The sequence below is a fragment of the Homo sapiens genome, chromosome 1, assembly GCF_000001405.40.
Source record: "Homo sapiens chromosome 1, GRCh38.p14 Primary Assembly".
NCBI lineage: Eukaryota > Metazoa > Chordata > Mammalia > Primates > Hominidae > Homo > Homo sapiens.
In genome coordinates this window covers 6,204,840-6,226,216 of record NC_000001.11, presented here as the reverse complement: position 1 = coordinate 6,226,216, position 21,377 = coordinate 6,204,840, and the positions used below count along the sequence as shown (strand labels likewise).

At 55.7% G+C, this 21,377-nt stretch overlaps 2 protein-coding genes and 1 long non-coding RNA gene across 13 annotated transcripts in view, besides 8 other annotated features; 2 read left to right on the top strand and 1 right to left on the bottom strand.

Moving 5' to 3' along the window:
- Window positions 1-5,024, top strand: part of ICMT (isoprenylcysteine carboxyl methyltransferase) — a 14,772-nt gene extending 9,748 nt beyond the window's left edge. For both annotated transcript variants that reach the window (NM_012405.4, XM_011541140.3), the window contains one exon: window positions 955-5,024. In NM_012405.4, the coding sequence (NP_036537.1) occupies window positions 955-1,137 (183 nt within the window). In that variant the 3' untranslated portion in view covers window positions 1,138-5,024. The remainder of the gene's footprint in view (window positions 1-954) is intronic.
- Window positions 4,918-20,098, bottom strand: RNF207 (ring finger protein 207). Of its 10 annotated transcripts, NM_207396.3 has the most exons (18): window positions 19,915-20,098; window positions 19,491-19,681; window positions 18,706-18,838; window positions 17,192-17,336; window positions 17,021-17,102; window positions 16,874-16,949; window positions 16,678-16,803; window positions 16,247-16,293; window positions 15,922-15,994; window positions 15,779-15,847; window positions 15,279-15,347; window positions 15,099-15,196; window positions 14,164-14,350; window positions 13,801-13,986; window positions 13,484-13,535; window positions 13,034-13,151; window positions 7,848-7,928; window positions 4,918-6,981 (listed from the first exon to the last, which is right to left on the bottom strand). In NM_207396.3, the coding sequence occupies exons 2-18, from the start codon at window positions 19,679-19,681 to the stop codon at window positions 6,810-6,812; spliced, it is 1,905 nt and encodes a 634-aa protein (NP_997279.2). In that variant the 5' UTR covers window positions 19,915-20,098; the 3' UTR covers window positions 4,918-6,809. The 10 variants fall into 10 exon arrangements, 6 of the variants coding, with proteins under 6 accessions (NP_997279.2, XP_047275966.1, XP_011539741.2 ...); XM_047420010.1 differs by lacking the exon at window positions 18,706-18,838 and having other exon boundaries at window positions 13,735-13,986; XM_011541439.4 differs by lacking the exon at window positions 18,706-18,838.
- Window positions 6,566-6,751: a silencer, noted in NCBI's record as "fragment chr1:6279526-6279711 (GRCh37/hg19 assembly coordinates)". NCBI's record gives its function as "represses an EF-1alpha promoter that drives an FKBP-Casp9 reporter gene in an ReSE screen in K562 erythroleukemia cells {active_cell/tissue: K562}" and the evidence as "EXISTENCE:reporter gene assay evidence [ECO:0000049][PMID:32094911]".
- Window positions 7,182-7,382: a silencer, noted in NCBI's record as "peak28 fragment used in MPRA reporter construct". NCBI's record gives its function as "represses an SCP1 promoter by STARR-seq MPRAs in K562 erythroleukemia cells {active_cell/tissue: K562}" and the evidence as "EXISTENCE:reporter gene assay evidence [ECO:0000049][PMID:32103011]".
- Window positions 17,100-17,169: a silencer, noted in NCBI's record as "silent region_140". NCBI's record gives its function as "represses an Ori minimal core promoter by ATAC-STARR-seq in GM12878 lymphoblastoid cells {active_cell/tissue: GM12878}" and the evidence as "EXISTENCE:reporter gene assay evidence [ECO:0000049][PMID:35858748]".
- Window positions 17,214-17,508: a silencer, noted in NCBI's record as "tiled region #13921; HepG2 Repressive non-DNase unmatched - State 23:Low". NCBI's record gives its function as "represses a minimal TATA promoter and a strong SV40 promoter by Sharpr-MPRA in HepG2 cells {active_cell/tissue: HepG2}" and the evidence as "EXISTENCE:reporter gene assay evidence [ECO:0000049][PMID:27701403]".
- Window positions 19,656-19,825: a silencer, noted in NCBI's record as "silent region_139". NCBI's record gives its function as "represses an Ori minimal core promoter by ATAC-STARR-seq in GM12878 lymphoblastoid cells {active_cell/tissue: GM12878}" and the evidence as "EXISTENCE:reporter gene assay evidence [ECO:0000049][PMID:35858748]".
- Window positions 19,903-20,722: an enhancer, noted in NCBI's record as "H3K27ac-H3K4me1 hESC enhancer chr1:6265555-6266374 (GRCh37/hg19 assembly coordinates)". NCBI's record gives its function as "activates a minimal SCP1, AML or CMV promoter by ChIP-STARR-seq in naive H9 embryonic stem cells {active_cell/tissue: H9 hESC(naive)}" and the evidence as "EXISTENCE:reporter gene assay evidence [ECO:0000049][PMID:30033119]".
- Window positions 20,026-20,255: an enhancer, noted in NCBI's record as "active region_75". NCBI's record gives its function as "activates an Ori minimal core promoter by ATAC-STARR-seq in GM12878 lymphoblastoid cells {active_cell/tissue: GM12878}" and the evidence as "EXISTENCE:reporter gene assay evidence [ECO:0000049][PMID:35858748]".
- Window positions 20,437-21,377, top strand: RNF207-AS1 (RNF207 antisense RNA 1). The gene is made up of 3 exons (NR_125997.1): window positions 20,437-20,463; window positions 20,804-21,011; window positions 21,235-21,377. It is a non-coding gene; the product is annotated as an RNF207 antisense RNA 1 (long non-coding RNA).
- Window positions 20,774-21,068: a silencer, noted in NCBI's record as "tiled region #5942; K562 Repressive DNase unmatched - State 1:Tss". NCBI's record gives its function as "represses a minimal TATA promoter and a strong SV40 promoter by Sharpr-MPRA in K562 cells {active_cell/tissue: K562}" and the evidence as "EXISTENCE:reporter gene assay evidence [ECO:0000049][PMID:27701403]".

The following is a 21,377-nucleotide window of genomic DNA, read 5'->3' as shown; positions in this document are numbered from 1 at the left end:
GCCATGTTGGCCAAGCTTGTCTCAAGCTCCTGACCTCAGGTGATCTGCCCTCCTTGGCCTCCCAAAGTACTGCAATTAACAGACATGAGCCACCGTACCTGGCCAGGATGTTCTTAAAGGTGGAAGAAAGGGCCAGGAGTTCGAGACCAGCTTGGGCAACATTGTGAAACCCCATCTCTACAAAAAATACAAAAATTAGCTGGGTGTGGTGGCATGTGCCCTTAGTCCCAGCTACTTGGGAGGCTGAGGTGGGAGAATCACTTGAGCCCAAGCAGTTAAGGCTGCAGTGAGCCATGATCACGCCACTGCACTCCACGTGACAGAGTGACAATCTGTCTCGGGGGAAAAAAAAGAGGCAAAGTGGGCACAGCGTGGGGAGGGCAGGAGACTGGGGAAGTGGGCGAAGTGCTGCTCTTCTGGGGTTGGAAACCCAGACTCAGGGGGTGGGGTTCAGTCTCTGGAGCTCTCTGAGCGTGGAGGTAATCTGCTGGAAGGGGCATTTCGGAAGCTGAGTTTTGTGGCACTGTATCTCGTGCTGAAGCAGAGGCTGTGGGTTTAGGAGGCAGAGGCCCAGGCAGCTGTGGTGTAAGCGAATGCATTTGTGGTGGGAGGGTCCTGGGCAGGAAGGCAGCGTGCATGGGACCTCATGTTGGGGAGCTCACACCTGGAGGTGGGGGGCATTGCTGTCACCCCAAGCTGAGGGTTGAAATCCAAGAGGTTGATCTTGTGATTTACAGATCTCTCTCATGTAAGAGGAGCAACAGGAAAGCACGTGAGAAAGGCCTGCAGCACTGAGTGCTCAGGGCTAAGGTGACAGTACTGCTCCCAGAGACCCTGACGGTCTCAGCAGGGCATGGGCACAGAAATCCTCTGGGTATTAGAGACAGACGCCTACCAAAGCACAGGGCGTCATCCCACGGTCACCCTGATGAGCCTGGTGTCTCCCTCTGTTAGGTGATGCTGTGTAACCCCATCTGCGGCGTCAGCTATGCCCTGACAGTGTGGCGATTCTTCCGCGATCGAACAGAAGAAGAAGAAATCTCACTAATTCACTTTTTTGGAGAGGAGTACCTGGAGTATAAGAAGAGGGTGCCCACGGGCCTGCCTTTCATAAAGGGGGTCAAGGTGGACCTGTGACGGGCAGTGGCCCCGGTGACCTTGGGGCCTCCGACCCTGTGCAGCCTGGGACAAAACTGTTTCCGGTTGGCCGCTGCCACATGGATTTTCTTAATCGTTTTATGTCATTAGTCACTCTTCTGGAATGTCACTCAAGACCAAGCGGTCAGAAGGCCTGAGGACCCAAGGCCCCACTGGAGCAGTCTGTCCTTATGCCGAATCAAGGCGGAACATGGGTGAAAGACGAGTAAGGGGCAAATCACAGCAATATTCCACAGCGCCCTCCAGAGTTACCTGGGGAGGACCGAGGCCACACGCCACTGCCCCCGAGGCCAGAGTGTAAGTAAAGGATAACCAGGACTCGCTGGGAGAGATGGACTCTGTCCTCAGCAACACTCCACAGCAGAAAGGGGTAGCAGGTACCCCTTCTTATCAGCGGTAAAAATGCATTTACAACCTTTCATTTAACCGAAAAACACAGACCGCTTTAACCTCTTTATTTCTGTCCCCCACTGCATGAACATCTATACAATTTTAAAAATACTTCCTCATAGGATGCTTTGGCCCTTCATCTATTTAATCATAGCTACATACCTATTTTTTATAAGTAGCAGTACACATTCAAAGGGGTATTCCTAGCTCAATGCTTGGTGTTCTAGTTCAACTTTTATCCTGCAGCAAGTAAGCCTAGATAACTCTACACGATTTGGCTGAGTGGCTTTGTGTGACCGTGGCCCCAGGCCAAGGGGATCATGGCCCTGGCTGGCTTTCCCGGGGGTCTCAGCTCCTGTTGTCAGTGATAGGCGGCTCAAAGGAGCATCAGTTTCTTTTGATCCAAGAAGTGCTTACTGAATGCCTGCCCTGTGCGTGGCCTTAAACATTGAGAAGTGCTGCTCTCCGTTTATTTGGGATTTGATTCTCATTTTACCATAGCTTATATTCTCAATTTCAATGCCAGTCTCAGAACTCTTGTTTTCTGTGTTCTGTTCTCAAAATTACATTGTCCCTCATGTCATTTCAAACTGTTTTCCAAAGGGATTTGAGCATATACAACTACAAATCCAAGCAGATTGACTCTCAAAAATAATCTTAAATACTGCAAATAGTCCCAACTAAGATTCAGTCAGTATGTTTGTTTTGCAAGTTTGGGAGAGTAAGTTGGCTTTGAGTCACACATCGAAGCTTTAAGAGGTGAGACGCTGGCTTCATTCTGGACTAGACAGGAACTTGGCCTCAGCGTGAGATCCTGCCATGCAGTGTTGCGGTGGCACTGAAGAAGTGTGAATGTGAAGGCGGCGTCGGCGCGGGGCCAGAGCACCACTCTGCTGCCCCACCACGCGGCCTGTGAGGAGCCACTAAACCTTTCCGTGCCTAGACCTCCCCATCTGTGGAATGGGGTCAATACCACCTACCTCACAGGGGTGTTGTGAGGACTGAGAAGAACAATGTCAAATGTTTTTAATACTCAGATGTGGGAGCGACATCAATGAAATCTGTACTGTATGAAAGCTACACAAAAATGGGCAGACATTTGGTTAATTGTGCCAGATACCTAAAATGTATGTTCAGAAAAGCATTTTATCAACTCAGAAATATGACTTATTTCTAGATTTCATGGCTTAATGAATTTTTTCATTGTTATATATACCAAAGAGGCTTACGGGTTCATTGATTGGTTTGAAAACCAGACAGACGGCCGGGCGCGGTGGCTCACGCCTGTAATCCCAGCAATTTGGGAGGCCAAGGCGGGTGGATCATGAGGTCAGGCGTTCGAGACCAGCCTGGCCAACATGATAAAACCCCGTCTCTACTAAAAATACAAAAAAATAGCTGGGCGTGCTGGCGGGTGCCTGTAATCCCAGCTACTCAGGAGGCTGAGACAGGAGAATCCTTTGAACCCAGGAGGCGGAGGTTGCAGTGAGTTGAGATCGGGCCTTTGCACTTCAGTCTGGGCAACAGGGCGAGACTCCATCTCAAAAAACAACAACAACAACAAAAAAAACCGGACGGACTTGCCCATCGGCCCTCACGACACGCGTGCAGTGGGACTCTAGCCAAGGCGGTGGCCGAGCCATCATTACAATTTTTCTGGAGTAAAGGATCCACGGTGGGACATCAACTGGCACTTACTCTGTTTAGGAACTTGAGTTGAATCATTTCTAAACTTGTCCTTTAGACCACGCCTAGGGCAGCAAATTCCACTTCCTAGAACTGCAAACCGGGAGAGGATGTAGTTAGATTCTGGCATCCTGCCCCGGCTCTTTGAGGGAAAAGTTCTTTCCCCTGCTCTAAGTAGGGCGGGCCCAGCCTCCATTCCCATTGGGAGCCATGAAGTTGTCTTGTTGATAGGTCTAGGGCAGCTGTTGGCAGCTGCTGGCCTTGTGGATGGTAAGCTGACTGTGTTGGCATTTAATGCCATCCTCCATCTGCCAGAGGCCCAGGAAGCCCACCTTCACACCAGGCCCACCAGCTGGAAGGAGCCCAGGAGGCAGGTCTTAGGGTTTCATGGTGAAATGCTGTCTGACACCAGGGAAAACTTGACGTACTCTGCTTTGGAGAGGAATTCCAGGGGTAGGGATGGTGGGAGAACATTCCCACCCTGTTTATAATCCCAGAGCAGAAGTCAGCAATTACTTAGGGATAAAAGATGAACTCCATTTTTTTTATTTTCTTAAGACAGTCTTGCTCTGTGGCCCAGGCTGGAGGCTGGAGTGCAGTGGCACCATTTCGGCTCACCGCAACCTCTGCCTCCCGGGTTCAAGCGATTCTCCTGCCTCAGCCTCCTGAGTAGCTGGGATTACAGGCTTGGGCCACCATGCCCAGCTAATTTTTTTGTATTTTTAGTAGAGACGGGGTTTCACCATGATGGCCAGGCTGGTCTCGAACTCCTGACCTCAAGTGATCCACGCGCCTCGGCCTCCCAAAGTGCTGGGATTACAGGCGTGAGCCACCACGCCCAGCCAAGATGAACTCCTTAAGGACAGGATTTGGTAAGTGATTGACTTCTTTTTAGTTCCATGATCTTGAGATTATTTTTAGCTTTATAAATTTAGCAGTGGCAGGGCCCGTGGAGAATCAGGTTAATGAGGTAAAGGCTTTCTGGGTATTTGCTGCCAAGGCCACATCACCAATTTTCTCGATTTAAAAAACTGTCAAGAGATTTATTTTTCCATTGCAGGTTTTAAAGTGGAGATTCTGAAGTGGAAAATAGGTACTGTCAGAACAAAGCTACCTGGAAACAGCATAGAGTGAAGCCTTTCGTGAGGGCTTGCAGGCCGCTGCTGAGTGGCAGTTTACAGAAGAGGTCGCGGGGTGAGCCTCTTAGCAGGACAGAAAACAAGGCAGCAGCGCACCTGCCACCCCTTCACGAGCTGCTCCTTGAGCCTAAAAAGTAGGCTTTATTCATCCCTTCTGTTCATTTACCAACCTGGGGGATTGATACGACCGGGGAAAATGTTCCTAAACCAGGAAGCTGCGTTAGCCGATCAGGCTTTGTAAGATCTCGCCAACAGCTAGCTGCTTAGGAGTACCCCCACGATACGCACAGCACACCACTGTCCCTTCACTGCACTTTCTTCCTGCCTTAGGTAGTTGGGCTTGCCCACCCTAGTTTGCTTTTGTAGTGGTTTGGCAAGGTTAGAAGGCCTCGGCCTCTCTGTCATGCTGGGAAGTGCCTACTCTCTGGGCCACTGCTGCAGAGGCCGTGGCACTTGTCATGGGTTTGGAAGACCCAGCCATCTGCAGCAGAGGCAGCCTATCCCATTGCAAGGAGAGGAACTGAACGGAGTAATTATTCTACTCTTCTTTTTACATAAATGTTTATTTAAATATTCTAAATTGGATTTTCTTTCACAGATACTGATTATTCTTTCCAGTTCTTAAATAAAACTGCACTTGATTTCACTCAACCACAGTGTGATTGTCTGGGATGTGAAACTCTGAGGTCACTCTTGGGTAAGAAGCGTCTTAAGCCTTTAGCCTCAAACGACGTGTGTTTGGCCTCCTCAATTTCTTTCTGAATTCCTACCTCTAACCAGTTGTAATGATAATTCCTTTTGCCCTGCAGGCCACCACATAGGTTTGTAAGGCCTTGGAACAGGAGCCTCAGTGCCCCTGAAGTAGCAGGTGCAGGGACAGTGGACGTCAATGTGAGTGATGTGTTATGTGTTGAATGTGCTGCCATGTTAGCACGTAGACCCATTTGCTGTTAATCACTGAATCAAGCTGAATATTTGCTTAAATGTGACTATCTGGGCATCATTTTGCCACAAAAACTTGTAAAATTTTACGTCACGTGGGTTACTTTTTAAAAAGCATTTATTAAGCTCCTCTAAATGAAAAGGATACTGTGGAGAAATGGAAAACTGCTGGGAAAAAACTACTAGAAAAAAGGTTGCTGCCACCCAGTGCCTTGCTATCAACGGAAGTCGGACTCAGGAGGGCTGCAGGAGTTTGGGAAAGCAGCGAAGTTGTAACTGAGACCATCTGCCACATAAGCTGGCCAGGTGCTAACCCCTGGCTTTAGGAGCTCTGCCCTTGCTGGAAAGGGAGAGAAGCTGGAGCAAACGTTCCTCATCCTTCCATGAGTCACTGCTCAGATTACTGTGTGGAACTTCCCAGTAGCACCAGGTTAACAGTGGGACTGTTATTCCGGAGGAACTGGATTCCTTTGCAATAGGGCAGGTGCCACTCAGTGGTGGAGTCTTGTTACCTAAAACCGGCACACCCTGACATACCACACTCTGCCCAGCACAGGGCCTGGCACACCGACGCTCGGTGCGTAGGTGTGGAACTAGCGAGGGATTTCTTGCTGGATTGTCACTCCCTGATGTTTTCCATGTGGACTGGGAGTCATCCCAAGCTACTGTGACAAGGACGAAGACTTCATGCCATGCAAACACGGGGAAAATCAAAACTGCCCAAGCCAAAGGATCTGAAATTATGGCCTGTCAGAGCTTCTGGGTTTTACTCTTGACAAATGATTACCTTTTAAAGAAATAACCGGCCGGGCACAGTGGCTTACCCCTGTAATCCCAGCATTTTGGGAGGCCGAGGTGGGCGGATCACCTGAGGTTGGGAGTTCGAGGCCAGCCTGACCAACATGGAGAAACCCCCTCTCTACTTAAAATACAAAAAATTAGCCGGGTGTGATGGTACATGCCTGTAATCCCAGCTACTCTGGGGGCTGAGGTAGGAGAATCGCTTGAACCTGGGAGGCGGAGGTTGCGGTGAGCCAGAGATTGCGCCATTGCACTCCAGCCTGGGCAACAAAGAGTGAAATTCTGTCTTAAAAACAACAACAACATTGGCCAGGCGCGGTGACTCACCCCTGTAATCTCAGCACTTTGGGAGGCTGAGGCAGGTGGATCACCTGAGGTCTGGCGTTTGAGACCAGCCTGGCCAACATGGTGAAACCCCATCTCTACTAAAAATACAAAAAATTAGCGGGGCGTGGTGTCAGGCGCCTGTAATCCCAGCTACTCGGGAGGCTGAGGCAGGAGAATCGCTTGAACCCAGGAGGCAGAGGTTGCAGTGAGCCGAGATTGCACCATTACACTCCAGCCTGGGCAACAGAGCGAAACTCCATCTCAAAAATAAAAAATAAAAAAAACCATCATGGGAACAACCTTCTGTCCAGTGTCCCAGTCTTGTGCCTGCTCTAAGAGCCTGACCCTGGGGACCGGTCCCATTTGCTAAGTCGGGTGTTCCCTCCATGTGGGGACATCGCCCCCATTTTTCTGTTTGGATCTGTGATGATCCATATTTTTCAGTAGAGGCTCTTCTGAGAGGCCGTTCGGAGCCCAGCTGTTTCCTTTAGGCTCTGATGTCTTCTCTCTCTTTTCCGGGACACTTCCTGGATTATTCCTAAAGGGACAGCCTCATGTAAGCCCAGCCCGCTCCCCCATTTCACCATATCCCTGCACTAAAATCCACTTGGGCCAAAGCACTCAGAATGGAACGTCTTCCTGGAAGGCCTCAGTGAGTGAGAACCAGGAAGGCTCTGTCTCCAAAAGGACCTTGTCTACTTCTGAGTAGGAGCCCATCCCCAGGGGATGGCTGTGAGTTGCTGAACCATCAGCCTGTGTCAGCGGTTTCTGGTGACACTGCATTTTGAATTTGGAAGCATCTGAGCTAATAAATGGCGGCTGTGCAGGGGAGGCTGGGGCCAGACTCTGCTCTGTCACCAGCCGCGCTGTGACTCTGGCCACTTCAGCAACCCTCTGCACACCCCTAGGCTCTTCTGGTTCTCATTCTACAGTGCTGTCCTCTGCCCTGTGACTATGTTTTCCTGAAAGCAAAATACACAAAGATCAGCCTGTGACTGTGTCGTAGGTGTTAATGCACAGCCGTCTTCCTCTGGCAGGTACTGGGGCGCATGCGCTGGCTCTGGGGAACAGTCCTCGGTCACTTTCTCATTTCAGTGACCCGAGTCCCCTAGCATAAGCACGTGCAGCTCCCAGTGGTGAAAGTGGATGCAGGCAGCAGCCATGGCTGTTTATAATGGTAAAATGGGGTTCTGTCTATCAAAGGAACACCTGTTTTATCTATGAGGTCACTTATAAGTTACTCATCTGGGCTGAGAGCCTCTCTGACCCCTTGTTTTACAAAGAGGCCCAGCCAGGGCCCCAGAGCTGGCGCCAAAGGGGAAAAGCCTGGAGTTTCCTTTGTCGTCCTGTTGGCCTCAGAAGCCACATCGCGTGCACACTCTCCAGTGGAGAGACTTGCTTTACCTGGCTGAGGCCGCGTTGTTCCTGCTGTCGTCGTGCGTGTTCTGTAGACTCTCTGACTGCTCATCCACGGGTGCCTGAAACCTGGCAAGGGAGTGGGCACCAGAATCTCAAGGGAGCAGAGCCAGCTGCTGCACGGCCTTAAGCTCAGAAACCTCAGAACCAGACTCTGCCACCACTCATGCACCCACCTAGCGTTTCATTCTTTTGCTCCTCAAATATTTACTAAGGTCCAGTGGTTGGCAAGGGCCAGGCCTGCATGGCGTGCAGGAGAGGCCAGGCCCTGCCATCATGGAAGCTGCGTGCTGGTCGGGCCAGACACGCTGAGGGAGGGAAGGGTGTGTGGTGCAGGGCGCCAGGCAGACCTGCTTTAATCCAGGTGGAGTGGGGAGGGCCTCTGCTGACACTCATCCAAGCTGGGGCCCGACTGAGGGTCTGTGAATACTCCAGGCAGAGGCCCAGAAGTGGGACCAGTCTAGCTTTTTTGGGGAACTGAAAGGGCATTGTGACTAGGGTGTTATGAGGGGCAGACACGGTCACAGGTGCACAGGGAAGGTCCCCAAGAGAGCTGTCCAGCCCCGCGGTGATGGGAATCATAGACTTCTAAAGGACTCCTGGCTTCATGGCGGCTGGAGGGGTAGGAGGGTTGGCCATGATGATCTGGATTCAGGGGAGCAATAGAGACCAAAGCGGGTGGATTGAGGCAGGAACAGTAGAGCCAGCAGGACTTGGGGGTGGGTTGGAAATGAAGTGGGTGAAAGGAATCCAGGCTTTCTCCCAGGCTTTTCACCTGAGTGAATGTGGTGCTATTCACTGAGATGGGGAGATGGGAATAGCATGTCTGCGGGAGGACGTCAAGCATTCTGGCCACTGCTGAACTCGCGGTGCCTGTAGACATCCAGGTAGGGCTGCCCAGGAAGGGGGCAGTGGGAGATGAGTCTGGAGCTCTGGTAAGCACTGTGCTGGAGCGGGAGCTGGGGGTCTGCGTCATGATGGGGTCTTAAAGCCAGGGACTGAATGAGGTCGCCCAAGGAGTGAGCGTAGGCTGTGGAGAATGCCTAAGGCTGAGCCCTGGGGAAAAACATATCTGGGCACTGAGCTGAGGAGGCAGAGCCAGCCAGAGACCAGGAAGGAACGGCTGGAGAGGCTGGCAGGAGCATGGGAGCGCGGGGCTGTCAGCAAAGAGAAGGTGTACTGAAGACTAACATGGCTAGGCACGGTCACGTCTATAATCCCAGCATTTTGGAAGGCTGAGGTGGGAGGATCACTTAGCCCAGGAGTTGGAGACCATCTTTGGCAACATAGCACAACCCCATCTCTACCAAAACTATAAAAATTAGCCGGGCATGGTGGCACATGCCTGTAGTCACAGCTACCCAGGAGGCTGAGGTGGGAGGATTGATTGAGCCTGGGAGATCGCGGCTGCAGTGAGCTGTGATTGAGCCACTGCACTCCAGCCTGGACAACAGGGAAAGACCCTGTCTTTAAAACAAACGAACAAAAAAAGCCCGGCGCAGTGGCTCACGCCTGTAATCCCAGCACTTTGGGAGGCCGAGGCTGGCGGATCACGAGGTCAGGAGATCGAGACCATCCTGGCTAACATGGTGAAACCCCGTCTCTACTAAAAATTAAAAAAAAAAAAAAATCAGCCGGGTGTGGTGGCACACGCCTGTAGTCCCAGCTACTCGTGAGGGCGAGACAGGAGAATCGCTTGAACCCGGGAGGCGGAGGTTGCAGTGAGCCGAGATCACGCCACTGCACTCCAGTTTGGGCGACAGAGCGAGACTCGGTCTCAAAAAAAAAAAAAAAAGATGAATATGGCGATGCTCACGAGTGCTGCTGAGAGGCCAAGGGAGGAGGCCTGGACCTACGGGAGGGCTCGCTGCGACTGGAGCAAGAGCAGACTCAGTGGATGAGTGGACTCGCAGACCTGGAGTGAAGTGGGTTGAGGGAGCAACTGCAGACATCCACAAAGTGGCTGCTCTGAAGAGGAGCAGAGCCGGCCCCACCTTGCCCGAAACCTCCAGGAGCTAGGCTCCAGCCTCAATTTATTTCTGCAGAGGTAGAGTATGGCTTGATACATTCATGGTGTGAACAAGTCTGTGTGGGTAGCACCCAGGACGTTGTCCCCACCCAGAAGCCCCCTTCATGTCCCCTTCCAGTCTTCCAGGTGACTGCCAAGATCCCTGCCACTCAGCAACTGGTCCTCTCCCACTGCAGCCGAAGTCTGAGGGGTTCTGAGAGGTCACCACACACAGACAAGAAATGTACTGAAACCAGAAAACCCAGTGTGCATACAGATGCTCCACAGACAGGCTTCCCAGGAAGGACTGGAAAGGGATCTAAAACTGACCTCGGGGCATTCCATAAAAGCAAGAGCCCACCCACCCTGATCTCCTCCAAGGAAGTACCACCCTTGTGCTCAGAGCTTCCGATCTGCCTCATGGCTCCAGCCCTGCCCCACTCCTAATATGAGCAGATACTCAAGGGTGACCTGACATCTGAGAAAAACCTTCAGCCTGGAAGATAGAAACCTACACAAGCTTAGAGGGCGTGGTGGCACACACCTGTAATCCCAGCTACTCTGGAGGCTGAGGCAGGAGAATCGATTGAACCTGGGAGGTGGAGGCTGCAGTGAGAGCTGAGATGGCGCCATTGCACTCCAGCCTGGGCGGCAGAGCGAGACTGTCTCAAACAAACAAAGACCTTCACAAGCAAAAAGCAATTGGGAGGAAACACTTCAGGGAGAAAATTCCAAAAGGAAAAAATAAACTATTAGCCTCAGAGGTGTAAGATATTGTGTCCCTGAAACAACAGGATGCCATCAAAAGAAACGGGGTACAGAAAGAGCTGTTGGACATGCAAAACAAGATAGCAGAAATGAACTACTTAATGGAAGATAAAGAGGCTTGGCACGGTGGCTAACACCTGTAATCCCAGCATTTTGGGAGGATGAGGCGGGAGGATCACTTGAGCCCGGGAATTTCAAAACCAGCTTGGGCAACATGGCAAGACCCCATCTCAAAAAAAAAAAAAAAAAAGGGGGGCCGGGTGCAGTGGCTCACGCCTGTAATCCCAGCACTTTGGGAAGCTGAGGCAGGCAGATCACCTGAGGTCGGGAGTTCAAGACCAACCTGACCAACATGGAGAAACCCTGTCTCTACTAAAAATACAAAATTAGCCGGGCGTGGTGGCGCATGCCTGTAATCCCAGCTACTCGGGAGGCTGAGGCTGGAGAATGGCTTGAACCAAGTAGGCGGAGGTTGTGGTTAGCCAAGATCACATCATTGCACTCCAGCCTGGGCAACAAGAGTGAAACTCCATCCAAAAAAAAAAAAGGGAAATAGGACAGAAAAGGTACATTAGAGGGCCAGCCCAGGGGAGCCAATATCCAACAATAGGAATTCCAAAAAGAAAAAGTGAAGAAATCAACAAATTGAAAAAGAGGCTGGGCGTGGTGGCTCATGCCCAGCACTTTGGGAGGGCGAGGCGGGTAGATGACGAGGTCAGGTGATCAAGACGATCCTGGCCAACATGGTGAAACCCCCGTCTCTACTAAAAATACAAAAAATTAGCCAGGCGTGGTGGTGCACATCTGTAGTCCCAGCTACTTGGGAGGCTGAGGCAGGAGAATGGCTTGAACCCAGGGGGCGGAAGTTGCAGTGAGCTGAGATCATGCCACTGCACTCCAGCCTGGTAACAGAGTGAGACTCTGTCTCAAAAAAAAAAAAAAAAAAAAAAAGAAAGAAATATTCCAGCCTGGCCAACTTGGCAAAACTCCATCTCTACTAAAAATACAAAAATTAGCCAGGCGTGTTGGCACGCACCTGTAATCCCAGCTACTTGGGAGGCTGAGGCAGGAGAATCAGTTGAACCCAGGAGGCGGAGGCTGCAGTGAGCCAAGATCGCGCCACTGCACTCCAGCCTCGGCAACAGAGCAAGACTCCATCTCAAAAAGAAAAAAAAAAAAGAAATATGCCAAAACTGAAGACCATGAATTTTCAGATTGAAAGAGCCTGCCAGTATCCAACCTAATGGATGGAAATAGACTCTCACCAAAGTGAAATCTCAGAACACTGGGAGCAAAGAGAAGATTCTACAAGCTTCCACAGAGAATTAGTAGGTCGCATTACAAGGGTTAGGAGTCTGAGTGCCTTCAGACTTCATGAACAACAACCATGGAAGCTAGAAAATAAGAAAGCGAGAGAGCGATGCCTTTGAAGGAGAATCCTTCCCAATCTAGAATTTCCCATCTAGAATTTGATACCCAGTGAAACTGTCAAGTATGAAGCTAGAATGGAGACATTGTCAGACCCTGCCATCCCAAACATGCACCTCCTTCACACTCTTTCTCAAGAAGTTACCAGGAGGTGGGCCCCCCTAAAACCTGACAGGCACTTCACCACAAGGGTGGTGAAGGGAGAGCCCAGGCTCCAGCCATTCCCTAGACCTACAGGGCAACCAGTCTATCCTGGGGCCCAGTGACTCAGAGACAGGAACAGCGAAGACTTGCCACCAAGATCCCTCTGCCACTGGAACCTGAGCACAGTGCTGAGACAGCCTGGTCAGGACTCTGCACAGACTTGGCTTGTCTTACATTGATGAAGTTCCTGCCCTCTCCTCCATGTCCTGCTGCCTGGATCAGCCCAGCAGGACCCTCGTGACACCCTTAGAAAGTGCCTTCTGCTTTGACCTACTCCTGAGGGTTGGAGGGACCAACTCTGAGCCTAAAAGCAGAAACTCAGAGCAGCCCACTCACTGTGACCATGCTTTTGCAAATGTCCGGCACCTTGTCCGCCCAGATACCCCAAAGGAACCCTAATGACCTGGCCAGCTGACTTCCCTGAACAGGGTCCTGTGGGTGTGGCACCTTTCCCATGCAGTTTTTTTTTTTTTTTTTTTTTAAGACAAGGTCTCACTGTGTCACCCAGGCTGTAGATTGTCGTGCCTCAGCCTCCCCAGTAGCTGGGATTACAGGCATGAGCCACCATGCATGGCTGATTTTTGTATTTTTAGTAGAGATGGGGTTCCACCATGTTGGCCAGGCTGGTCTCGAACTGCTGACCTCAGGTTATCCGCCCACCTCAGCCTCCCGAAGTGTTAGGATTACAGGCGTGAGCCACCGCACCCAGCCCCCATGCACATTCTGAAGAGTCTCAGTGGCCCTGGGAACACCCCCTTGGCCTCACCTGGGCTCCAGCCGCTCCTTCACCTTGGCAATGGAGCGGACGTAGGGCGTGATCTGCTTGGTGATGGTGGTCAGGTAGGCATTCTCCTGCCTCAGCTGGAGAAGGTCATGGAGCTGGGCTGTGGGGCCAAGGCCAGAGCATGGGGTCTTAATCCTGAAGCATCTGGCTTCAGATTTTTACTCAAGCCAGGCACCACGTAAATATCCCGACCATTTCCATGATGACCTCTAATTAAAGAGGGAGGCACTTGGTGGGGGCATTCTACTCAATGAATCCTGACCTCACATGCATCATTTGAGGCCAGTTAGCAGCTGGGAGGCACGGTCAAGCGCTAAGGGGAAGAGTGTGGGGATTTGCATCTGGTTAGTGGCCGACTCTGACTTCCTCCTCTGCTAGTATGTGGGTTAGCTCAGGGACAGAGGGTTCACTCGGCAGCCAACTGTCTGGAACCTTCATAAATCTCCTGCTCATTAGCCACTCGCTGATAGGCTTCCTCCCAAATCTGAAAGAGAAAAGCTGGACATTGGATGTGGCAGTGAGCTGAATTTACGGTGGCGGCATTGCTATCTCTAGCTACTCAGATCTACAAAGCACCCCCCAGCCAGGTCCACGTGGTTCCAAGCAGCAAAGACTCCCAGTTTCCAGACCCTGCCACATGAGGGTCCCGTGGGGTACAGGCCAGGTCCTCTTTCCCCGCTTACTGTCTTAGGGTAGCCCAGGTATCCCCTGACAGGTGGGGCTGGAGTTAGAGTCCTTGGGAGGGCTACCTCCTGGAAGACGACCCTCATGCCCTCTAAGGAGGCGTGCTCCGAGGCGATCTGCACGTCCAGTTGCAGGGACTTGTGCAGGACGTCTCCCATGATCTCCGCCTTGATGAGCGAGTGGTGCTTGGTGAGGTCTCGGTGCAGCTCCTGTACCTGGTCCTTTAGGCTCTGCATCTCTGCCTGCAGGTGCTGCACAGAGAGGCTGTGTGAGAGCGTGGGTCACCCTAGGCTGTTTTTACTGCCATGGACTTGGTGGAGGAATGGCTCCCAGCTTCAGCAGCTGGGAGAACTCGATTTCCCTGAGCGTACCTTGGTGAGGAGTGGGTTAGGACATCTCCCCCCTCCGGCAGATCCCTGCCCCCTCACCCGGTAGGAGTCCTCATAGTGGCGGCAGTGCTCTGCGAAGGGCGTGTTCTCGCCCTCCGCCAGCAGCACCTTGGTGCTGATGGACCGGTGCAGCGTGGGCTTTTGGACGGGTGACCCCGACATCTTTCCTACTGGGGAGGGGCAGTGGGGCCCCGTCAGCGCCTTGGGGCCTAAGCCCCCTGCCAGCCTGGGGAGAGAGCCAGTGTGGATGCAGGGGGGTGGGGAAGTCTGCCCCTCCCCCAGCCTCCCAGGGCAGCCCCCTGGACTGCTCCGGGATCTCACAGCCCTCTCCACCACCTGGAGCACAGCAGAGCCACCAGGAGATTTGAAAAGGCTGAGGCAAGGCCTCACCCGGACATCCACATCTATTTTTTAAAGTCCCTGGAGTGGGTTCCAGGATGTGGGGCCAAGAGCAAGTCCGTCGGAATGCTGCCGGGGCCAGGACCGAGTGAGTGGTGTGTTCACTTCTATGCTGGACAGAGGAAGTGTGGGCCCAGTCTCTCTTGGTCTTGGGGCCCCTGGACACACACATGCCATTTCAGCATCTCTTCTAACTCCTCTCCAGATGAGTCCAGGAATCAGGCCCCCTATGACCTCAGGCCACCTAGGTGGCGGTCAGCCCAGCCCCAGGCGCCCCACCCCAGGGGAGGCTGCAGTGGTAGTTGGGGGCCTGAGTCCTCCCCTCCTCCTTTAGCCAAGCTCCGAGCCCGGTCTGCCATGGACTTCAGGTCCAGGGCTTCCTGTTCCCCTACTTAGTGGACTCGCCCTGGCCATCCCCTGTGCCCAGACACCCTGCTGGGAGGGTGGCGAGCTAAGGACGGAGGAAGGAATGGTGGCACCTGGCTTCTTGCTGGCGATCTGGCCCCTCAGCGCCCACCCTCCCCCACACCCCAGTGTTGGGGACCTTGTGCCTGGCCTCCCCGGTTGCTGCTCACGTGTTAGCACCACTTGCAGCAGCTGCCACCCGACGTGGCCCCAGCAGCAGCAGTGGCTCCAGACAGCGCGCGAATTCAGCTCGGTGGTCACTGGCAATCTGGGCAGCGGGATGGGGTCATGAGGTGGCCTCCACTGCCCTGCAGGGCCCCCGACCCTGGCCCACCCAGGCCACTGCACACCTTGCTGCTCTGAATAGGCCTTAGGTGGTGCGGCCGCGTGACGATGCCCTGCAGCCTCTCCATCAGCTCCTGTGGCAGTGAGGAGGGCCTCAGGCCGGTGGAGGTGTGGCAGCCAGGGGGCAGGAAGAGGGGAGATGGAGGCGGAGCACGTCTGTCTTTGGCACTTGACTTGGTGTCCCTTAGCAGCGCCAGCCCTCTTCTGGGACTCACCCGGACAAACCCCCATCCCATCCCCAAATCCACAGGAGAGGGGGCGGCTGGACTCCAGTGGTCACTCCGCCCCACGGGGGACTGTAGGCTCATGCCCCCTTCCTGGCTTCACTGTCCTTGTAACAGTGACCCTAACAGGTTTGCAGATGATGGAGTTGGGAGGGGGTCAGCCCCGAGATCCCTGGTCCAGGCTCCAGGTGACAGGCTGCCCACCCCTGAGTTGGTGGCTTTGGTCTGCAGGGTGGGCTCCTGGTGGGGAGGGGGCATCTGCAGGAGCAGAGGAGACTCACATAGCCCAGGTCCAGGAACTCAGCCTTGTTGGCCAAGCTGAGGAAGGAGGAGCAGATGACCAGGTGGACCTGGGGGAGGGGATGCTGCTCAGTGCCTGGCCGGGGAGGAGGAGGGACCCACCCGCACCCCGAGCTCCCTGTACCTGCAGGGTGGGCAGCAAGGTGGCCAAGTGAGAGAGCTGCTCCTTGAAGGCCTTGTCCTTCTCTTCGTATTGGCTGGGGGAGGGGGGCTGCCTGGTTTCCAGGGGGCCAGGAGCAGGGCCGGGCAGTTCCATCCCCCACCCGCCTCCAGCTTCGCATGTCCGTCCCTGAACCCCTTCTCTGCACCCTGAGCCATGCTGCCCTCCTTAGCTGGGAGGACATTCGGATGTCTTGCTCCTCAGGGTGGGGCAGGGCCTGCCCAGGCTCTGAGCTGAGGCCATGGAGGCCAAGGGGTAAGGGAAGCAAGCCCCGCTCCCCCCAACTCACCTCTGCACAGCCTGCAGCAGCAGCGCTTTCCTCTCTGCCAGCCTGTCCTGGGAGAGATGGCGAGCATGCTCTTGATTTGCGCCCCAGCCCTGCCACCTCCCACCATGCCTACCCCCCGGACCCCAGCCACCTGCTGGTTACACTAGGTATCTCTCCAACCTACCAGCCCTGCATCTGCTGCCTGGTGAGGGCTTGGGTCCCGTCACCTTAAATGTCACCTCCCCAGGGAAGTCTTTCCTGACCACCTCACACCCCCACCACCAGCCTGCGGCAGGCCCTGGTTTCCCCTCCCAGCTCTCCTAGCAACTCCAGGAAAGTGCTTGGTGCAAGGCCTGCTGCCCCACTACACTGGAAATCCACAAGGGCAAGGGACCAGCCCTGTGTCACCAGGTCCCGGCTGGGTCGTTTATCCCCCAACCCCCACCCCTCACCTGCATGCTGCCGAAGAGGGCGTGGATAGCGTCCTCCTCCTCGGCGGCGCTGTGCCGCACCTCCTCCACCATGGCCTGCAGCAGCGCGATGGCCTCCCGCGTGGCCGTCTGCAGGGCCTTCACGGCCTGGGGACAGGGCGTGGTCAGGCTCGCGATCGCCGCCGCGCGGCCCCGCGCGCCAGGCCCCTGCGCTCACCAGCACCGCCTGCTCCAGCCGCTCGCAGCCCTGCACGTAAGCCGATTCCAGGTCCACGCAGTGTGCCCGGCTCTCCCTGCAGAAGGCGGCGGGTGAGGCCCGCTCCAGCGGCCCCCAGCCCCCTCCCCTCGCGTCCCCTGTACGCACTTCTGCATGTCGCGGAAGCAGCGGATGCACAACAGCAACTTCTTGTCGGTGGAGAACAAGAGGTAGGGCTCTGCGTGCAGCGCTGCGGGGGCGGCGGGCGGTGGTGAGGGCTCCGGTCAGTGCCCGCCCCGCCCCCACCCCCAAGTCCCCGGCCCCGCAAGCCTCACTCACTGCACTTCTGGGGCACGTCGCGGCTTCGCTGACCCAGGGCCACGATGTCGTGGCGCGCGAACATGCGTGCTCGGTGCGTCTCGTCGCGGCAGCGCGCGCATAGGGGCTGTCCGCACGTGTTGCAGAAGTACGTGGTCTCCACGTCCTGCGGGCCGAGCGCGGGCTCAGGAGCGCCAGAGCCCGACCGCGGCCAGCGCGGGAACCGCAGCCGCCGCGTGTCACTGCGCGTGTTTGTCCCAGCCGTGGCCGGGTGCGCAGCTAAACGCAGCCCTTTCCTGTAATCCAGGCACTTGGCGCTCTGATATACCCACTTTACAGAGGAGGGCACTGCGGCTCAGAGGCTGGGTAAGTAGGTCCGTGGAGGGGGGTGGGGGACGCGGGGAGAGGGCAGAAACTGCCTTTATAAAACATTTTACCGAGGCCGGGCGCGGTGGCTCACGCCTGTAATCCCAACAATTTGGGAGGCCGAGGCGGGCGGATCACCTGAGGTCAGGAGCTGGCCAACATGGCGAAACCCTGTCTCTAATAAAAATACAAAAATTAGCTGGGCATGGTGGCGGGCGCCTGGAGTCCCAGCTCCTCGGGAGGCCGAGGCAGAAGAATCACTTGAACTCGGGAGGCAGAGGTTGCTGTGAGTCAAGTTGGCGCCACTGCACTCCAGCCTGGGCGATAAAGCAAGAATCCGTCTCAAAAAAAAAAATTTTTTTTTTTTTACCTGCAACAAAAGGGTGTGAGGGCCTCTCACGGCCCCCTTGGCACACTCAATAGTGGCCGAAAGGTGGTGTACACCCTGGCCATCTGGAGTCACACTTGGGGGCGGGGGGAGGGGAAGAGCAGTGAGGGCTTTAAGGTTCTCCTCCCCAAGCCAGACCCAGGGCTGGGATTCCAGGGCTTGGCCTGCAGCCCTGGTATGGACGCATGCAATGATGGACATAACAGGCCCTACCTGCAGTCCCTACCTCCTGCTAATCCTCTCTGTACGTCTGGGTCACACATTGCTCAGCACTTGTCCAGAACGCTGGAGCTTTTGCCCCAGTCGGGCCGTCCTCCTGGGATTCCCGATACATTTTCTGGCCTCCGCAGGCCAGAGTCCCCTGTGCCTTTTACAGCCCAGAGGGAACAGCATGCTGTCCCCACCTCCCCTGGGCTGTAGCTGCTTCTATGCCACTTGGGTAGCAGAGGCCCTTCAGGGTCGGCCCAGGCCTGCAAACTGGACTGCCCCTCCTGTGCAGGTCCACAACTCCACCCTGAATTGGGGACCAGTGAGCTCTCCCCAGATCGAATGGCCTTAGCCTCTGCCACTGTCTGGACACTGGCTCAAGTCCCTTGTTCTGGACCTCAGTCTCCCCACCGGTATAATGGGGTTCACATTTGGGGCCAAGGTGCCCTAGGGAGGTGCTGGAGAATCCACTGCCAGGTCGTCCTCTGAAGACATGCTGAGTGCATGTGCAAGCATTGGGGACTGTGCAACCGGGTACCCTCTGCTCCTCACCCACCCGCCCTGCCGCCCCTGCCTGCTCGCTGCACTCCAGGTCACAGTTGGCACAGCGCACCGCCTCCACGCCATCCCCTGAGCTGTCCACCAGGAACTGCAGCAGCCGGTCCACCGGCGGGAGCCCGCTGGGACCCTTCAGCACCGTCTGGTGTCTGCAGAGAAGCCCAGGCCCCGAGATTCTGATACCCCTTCCCCAGGGCTCCCCACCCCCACCCCTCACATTCCAGGCTGGAGCTAAAAATAGCTGTGTTGGGAGGTGGGGTGCACCACAGCTCTGGGGTCTGCTATAAATATCACAGCCAGCACTCACCCTGCCCTGGTCCCTACCCTTGCCCAGTCCTGGGCACTCCTGCAGACAGTGGGGTTGGTCCCCTAGTATCAAAAGCAGAAGCTGCTCCTCGACATCTTCTCACGGCATTGGGCAAATCAGAGCCACTCCTGGGTTCCTTGAGCCCACATAACTGAAACTGTGGTTTTGTGGACCTAAGACTTCTAGGACCCCCAAGCGAGTAACCGGGAGCGTCCTGACCAGTGCTGGAGCCCCGCCCTTACCCTCTGACTTTTGATGGGAGGTCTTGGGCCAGTAACTGCAATCTCCAGGCTTCAGTTAAGCTGATCTATAAAATGGACCGAAGCCTGCAACTTCTGGCGGGGAGAGCTAAGGACCGGGTGCAGTATCTCCCAGTCGTTCTGCCTGAAGTTGGAGCCTTACTCTCCTGGCACCTGGGTCCCAGCTCGGGCAGAGCCAACCTTGGGCCCGGGGGATGGGGTCTGGGGGGTTTTGGGGAACTTTGGGACACTTACTGGCACAGCGGGCAGGTGAGGCGGCCGTCGGTCGCGCGGCCACGCAGGCAGCCGGCACAGAAGTCGTGGAAACAGTCCAGAAGACACGGGCGCTCGTACTGCACGTGGCACAGCGGGCACACCAGCGGGTGGATGCTCGGGGCATCCAGGGAGCTCGGGCCCTCCAGGGGCCCGAAGATAGCTCCCGACATCTGCAGCGACAGCGCAAGCGGGCGGCTGGGGCACGCACGGAGCCCCGCTTGAGCTCCCGCGGCCCCTCTGCCCGGGCGCCCGCGCCCTCCCTATCGCGCCTGGACCCGACTGGGCGTCCAGAGGTCATGGAGTGGGGAGCCGCTAGGGCCCAGGTTAGGGCTGGGGCCTGGAGCTCCCCGGCGCAGGGAGAACAGGCAGTGAGGACTGGCGAGGGGCGGGGCCTTGTACCTACCCGCTGGGCCGCTTTGCTGGGAGCTACCGGTCCTCCGAGCCTCTCTCCCGCCGTCCAGCGCTCTTAGTGCGGCTCCGGGCCGCGCTCTGAGACACCGCGCGGTCGCTCTGCCGAGGAGTAGCCGGCCCTGGAAGTTCAGGCCCGCACCGGGCGATGGTTCCCACTCTGCGCGGGGCCTCCCTCTGCCGTGGCCTCTCCTACCTCTCCTCACTCCCACCCTCGGAATTCCCCGCCGGGTGTCCTCTGGGTGACCCGCAGGCGACGCCTCTTCCGGCATCCACCTTCCCCAGGGTGGCTGCTGCCTTGAGGCGCGGCGGGGCCGAACCGACCTCCGCGCTCGCCATCTGCTTTGCGCACTGGTTCCGGCCCGGCCACTCCACCTCCAGCCCGCGGGGAGGAGAGGCCAGGACGCCAAGGCTCCAGGGACGGTGCCAGGCAAGGGTGCAAGGATCGGACTGGCCCCTGCCCGGCATGACAGAGTCCGGAGCCCCAAGACCAGAGCGCCGCGCAGAGCGGGGCCGGAGGACCTTGGCTGCGGGGTCTTCAAGGGTAGGCCGGGCGCGGTGGCTCACGCCTGTAATCTCGGCACTCTGGGAGGCCGAGGCGGGCAGATAGCTTGAGGTCAGGAGTTCGAGACCAGCCTGGCCAACATGGCGAAACCCTGTCTCTACTAAAAATGCAAAAATTAGCCAGGCATGGTGGCGCCCTTCGGGAGGCTGAGGCAGAACTGCTTGAACCCGGGAGGCGGAGGTTGCAGTGAGCCGAGATCGCGCCACTGCACTCCAGCCTGGGCTACAGAGCCAGACTGTCTTAAAAAAAAAAAAGAGTCCAAACCCCACCCCCTACCCCCGCTAATCCCCACTCTTCCATCCCATTTGGGTCTGAACAGGTCATCGCCGCCTCATTTCCTCGGCGGCCAATTGGGGGCGCCAGAGAGCAGCGGACGCCCCTCCACCGACTTTCCAGCGCTTGGGAGGCGGAGTGAGACGCCCTGTAATCCCAGCCCTGCCTTTCGCTGGTTGTGAGCTCTTGGCCATGTTACTGACCTCTCAGAGCCTCAGCGCTGGGTTAAAATAGAACTGGTGTCCTGATAATGGGTGAGGCCCCAGTGGAATAACGCACGTGAAATACACATACTGGGCGTCCACTTAATTAAGGCCCTATCCTCATTGCCTGCCAAGTTCCCAAAAGAGGGATGGGTTTGGGTGGGAGGTTGAGAGGGGAGGTTCCCGGCCTTTCCAGCAGTGCCCCCTCTGCCGTCTGGGCCTGGCAGATGCGTGTTGATCCCAGCGTTTTCTCCAGCGTGCGCTCGCTTGCTAGGTCGACGTGATCAGTGAGCTTTCTCCGCCCGTGTTCTCCTGAGTGTCCTGAGAGCAGCCCGTTTCTGCCCCTCTTGCGATTACAAAGTCAAGCCCAGAGCCTGACCCACAGTAGTGCTCAATAAAGGCTTAGAAAAAGCTCGG

What these genes read in the sequence shown, in the direction of transcription:
- RNF207 (XM_047420021.1), bottom strand. Translation starts at nt 19,681, where the DNA reads ATGTCGGGAGCTATCTTCGGGCCCCTGGAGGGCCCGAGCTCCCTGGAT. An exon ending in CTCACCTGCCCGCTGTGCCA is followed by an intron (nt 18,839 to 19,490) that starts GTAAGTGTCCCA and finishes GCTTCTCTGCAG; the next exon opens with ACACCAGACGGTGCTGAAGG. An exon ending in GCTGCAAGTGGTGCTAACAC is followed by an intron (nt 14,351 to 15,098) that starts GTGAGCAGCAAC and finishes CTCTCTCCCCAG; the next exon opens with GCTGGCAGGGGGCTTAGGCC.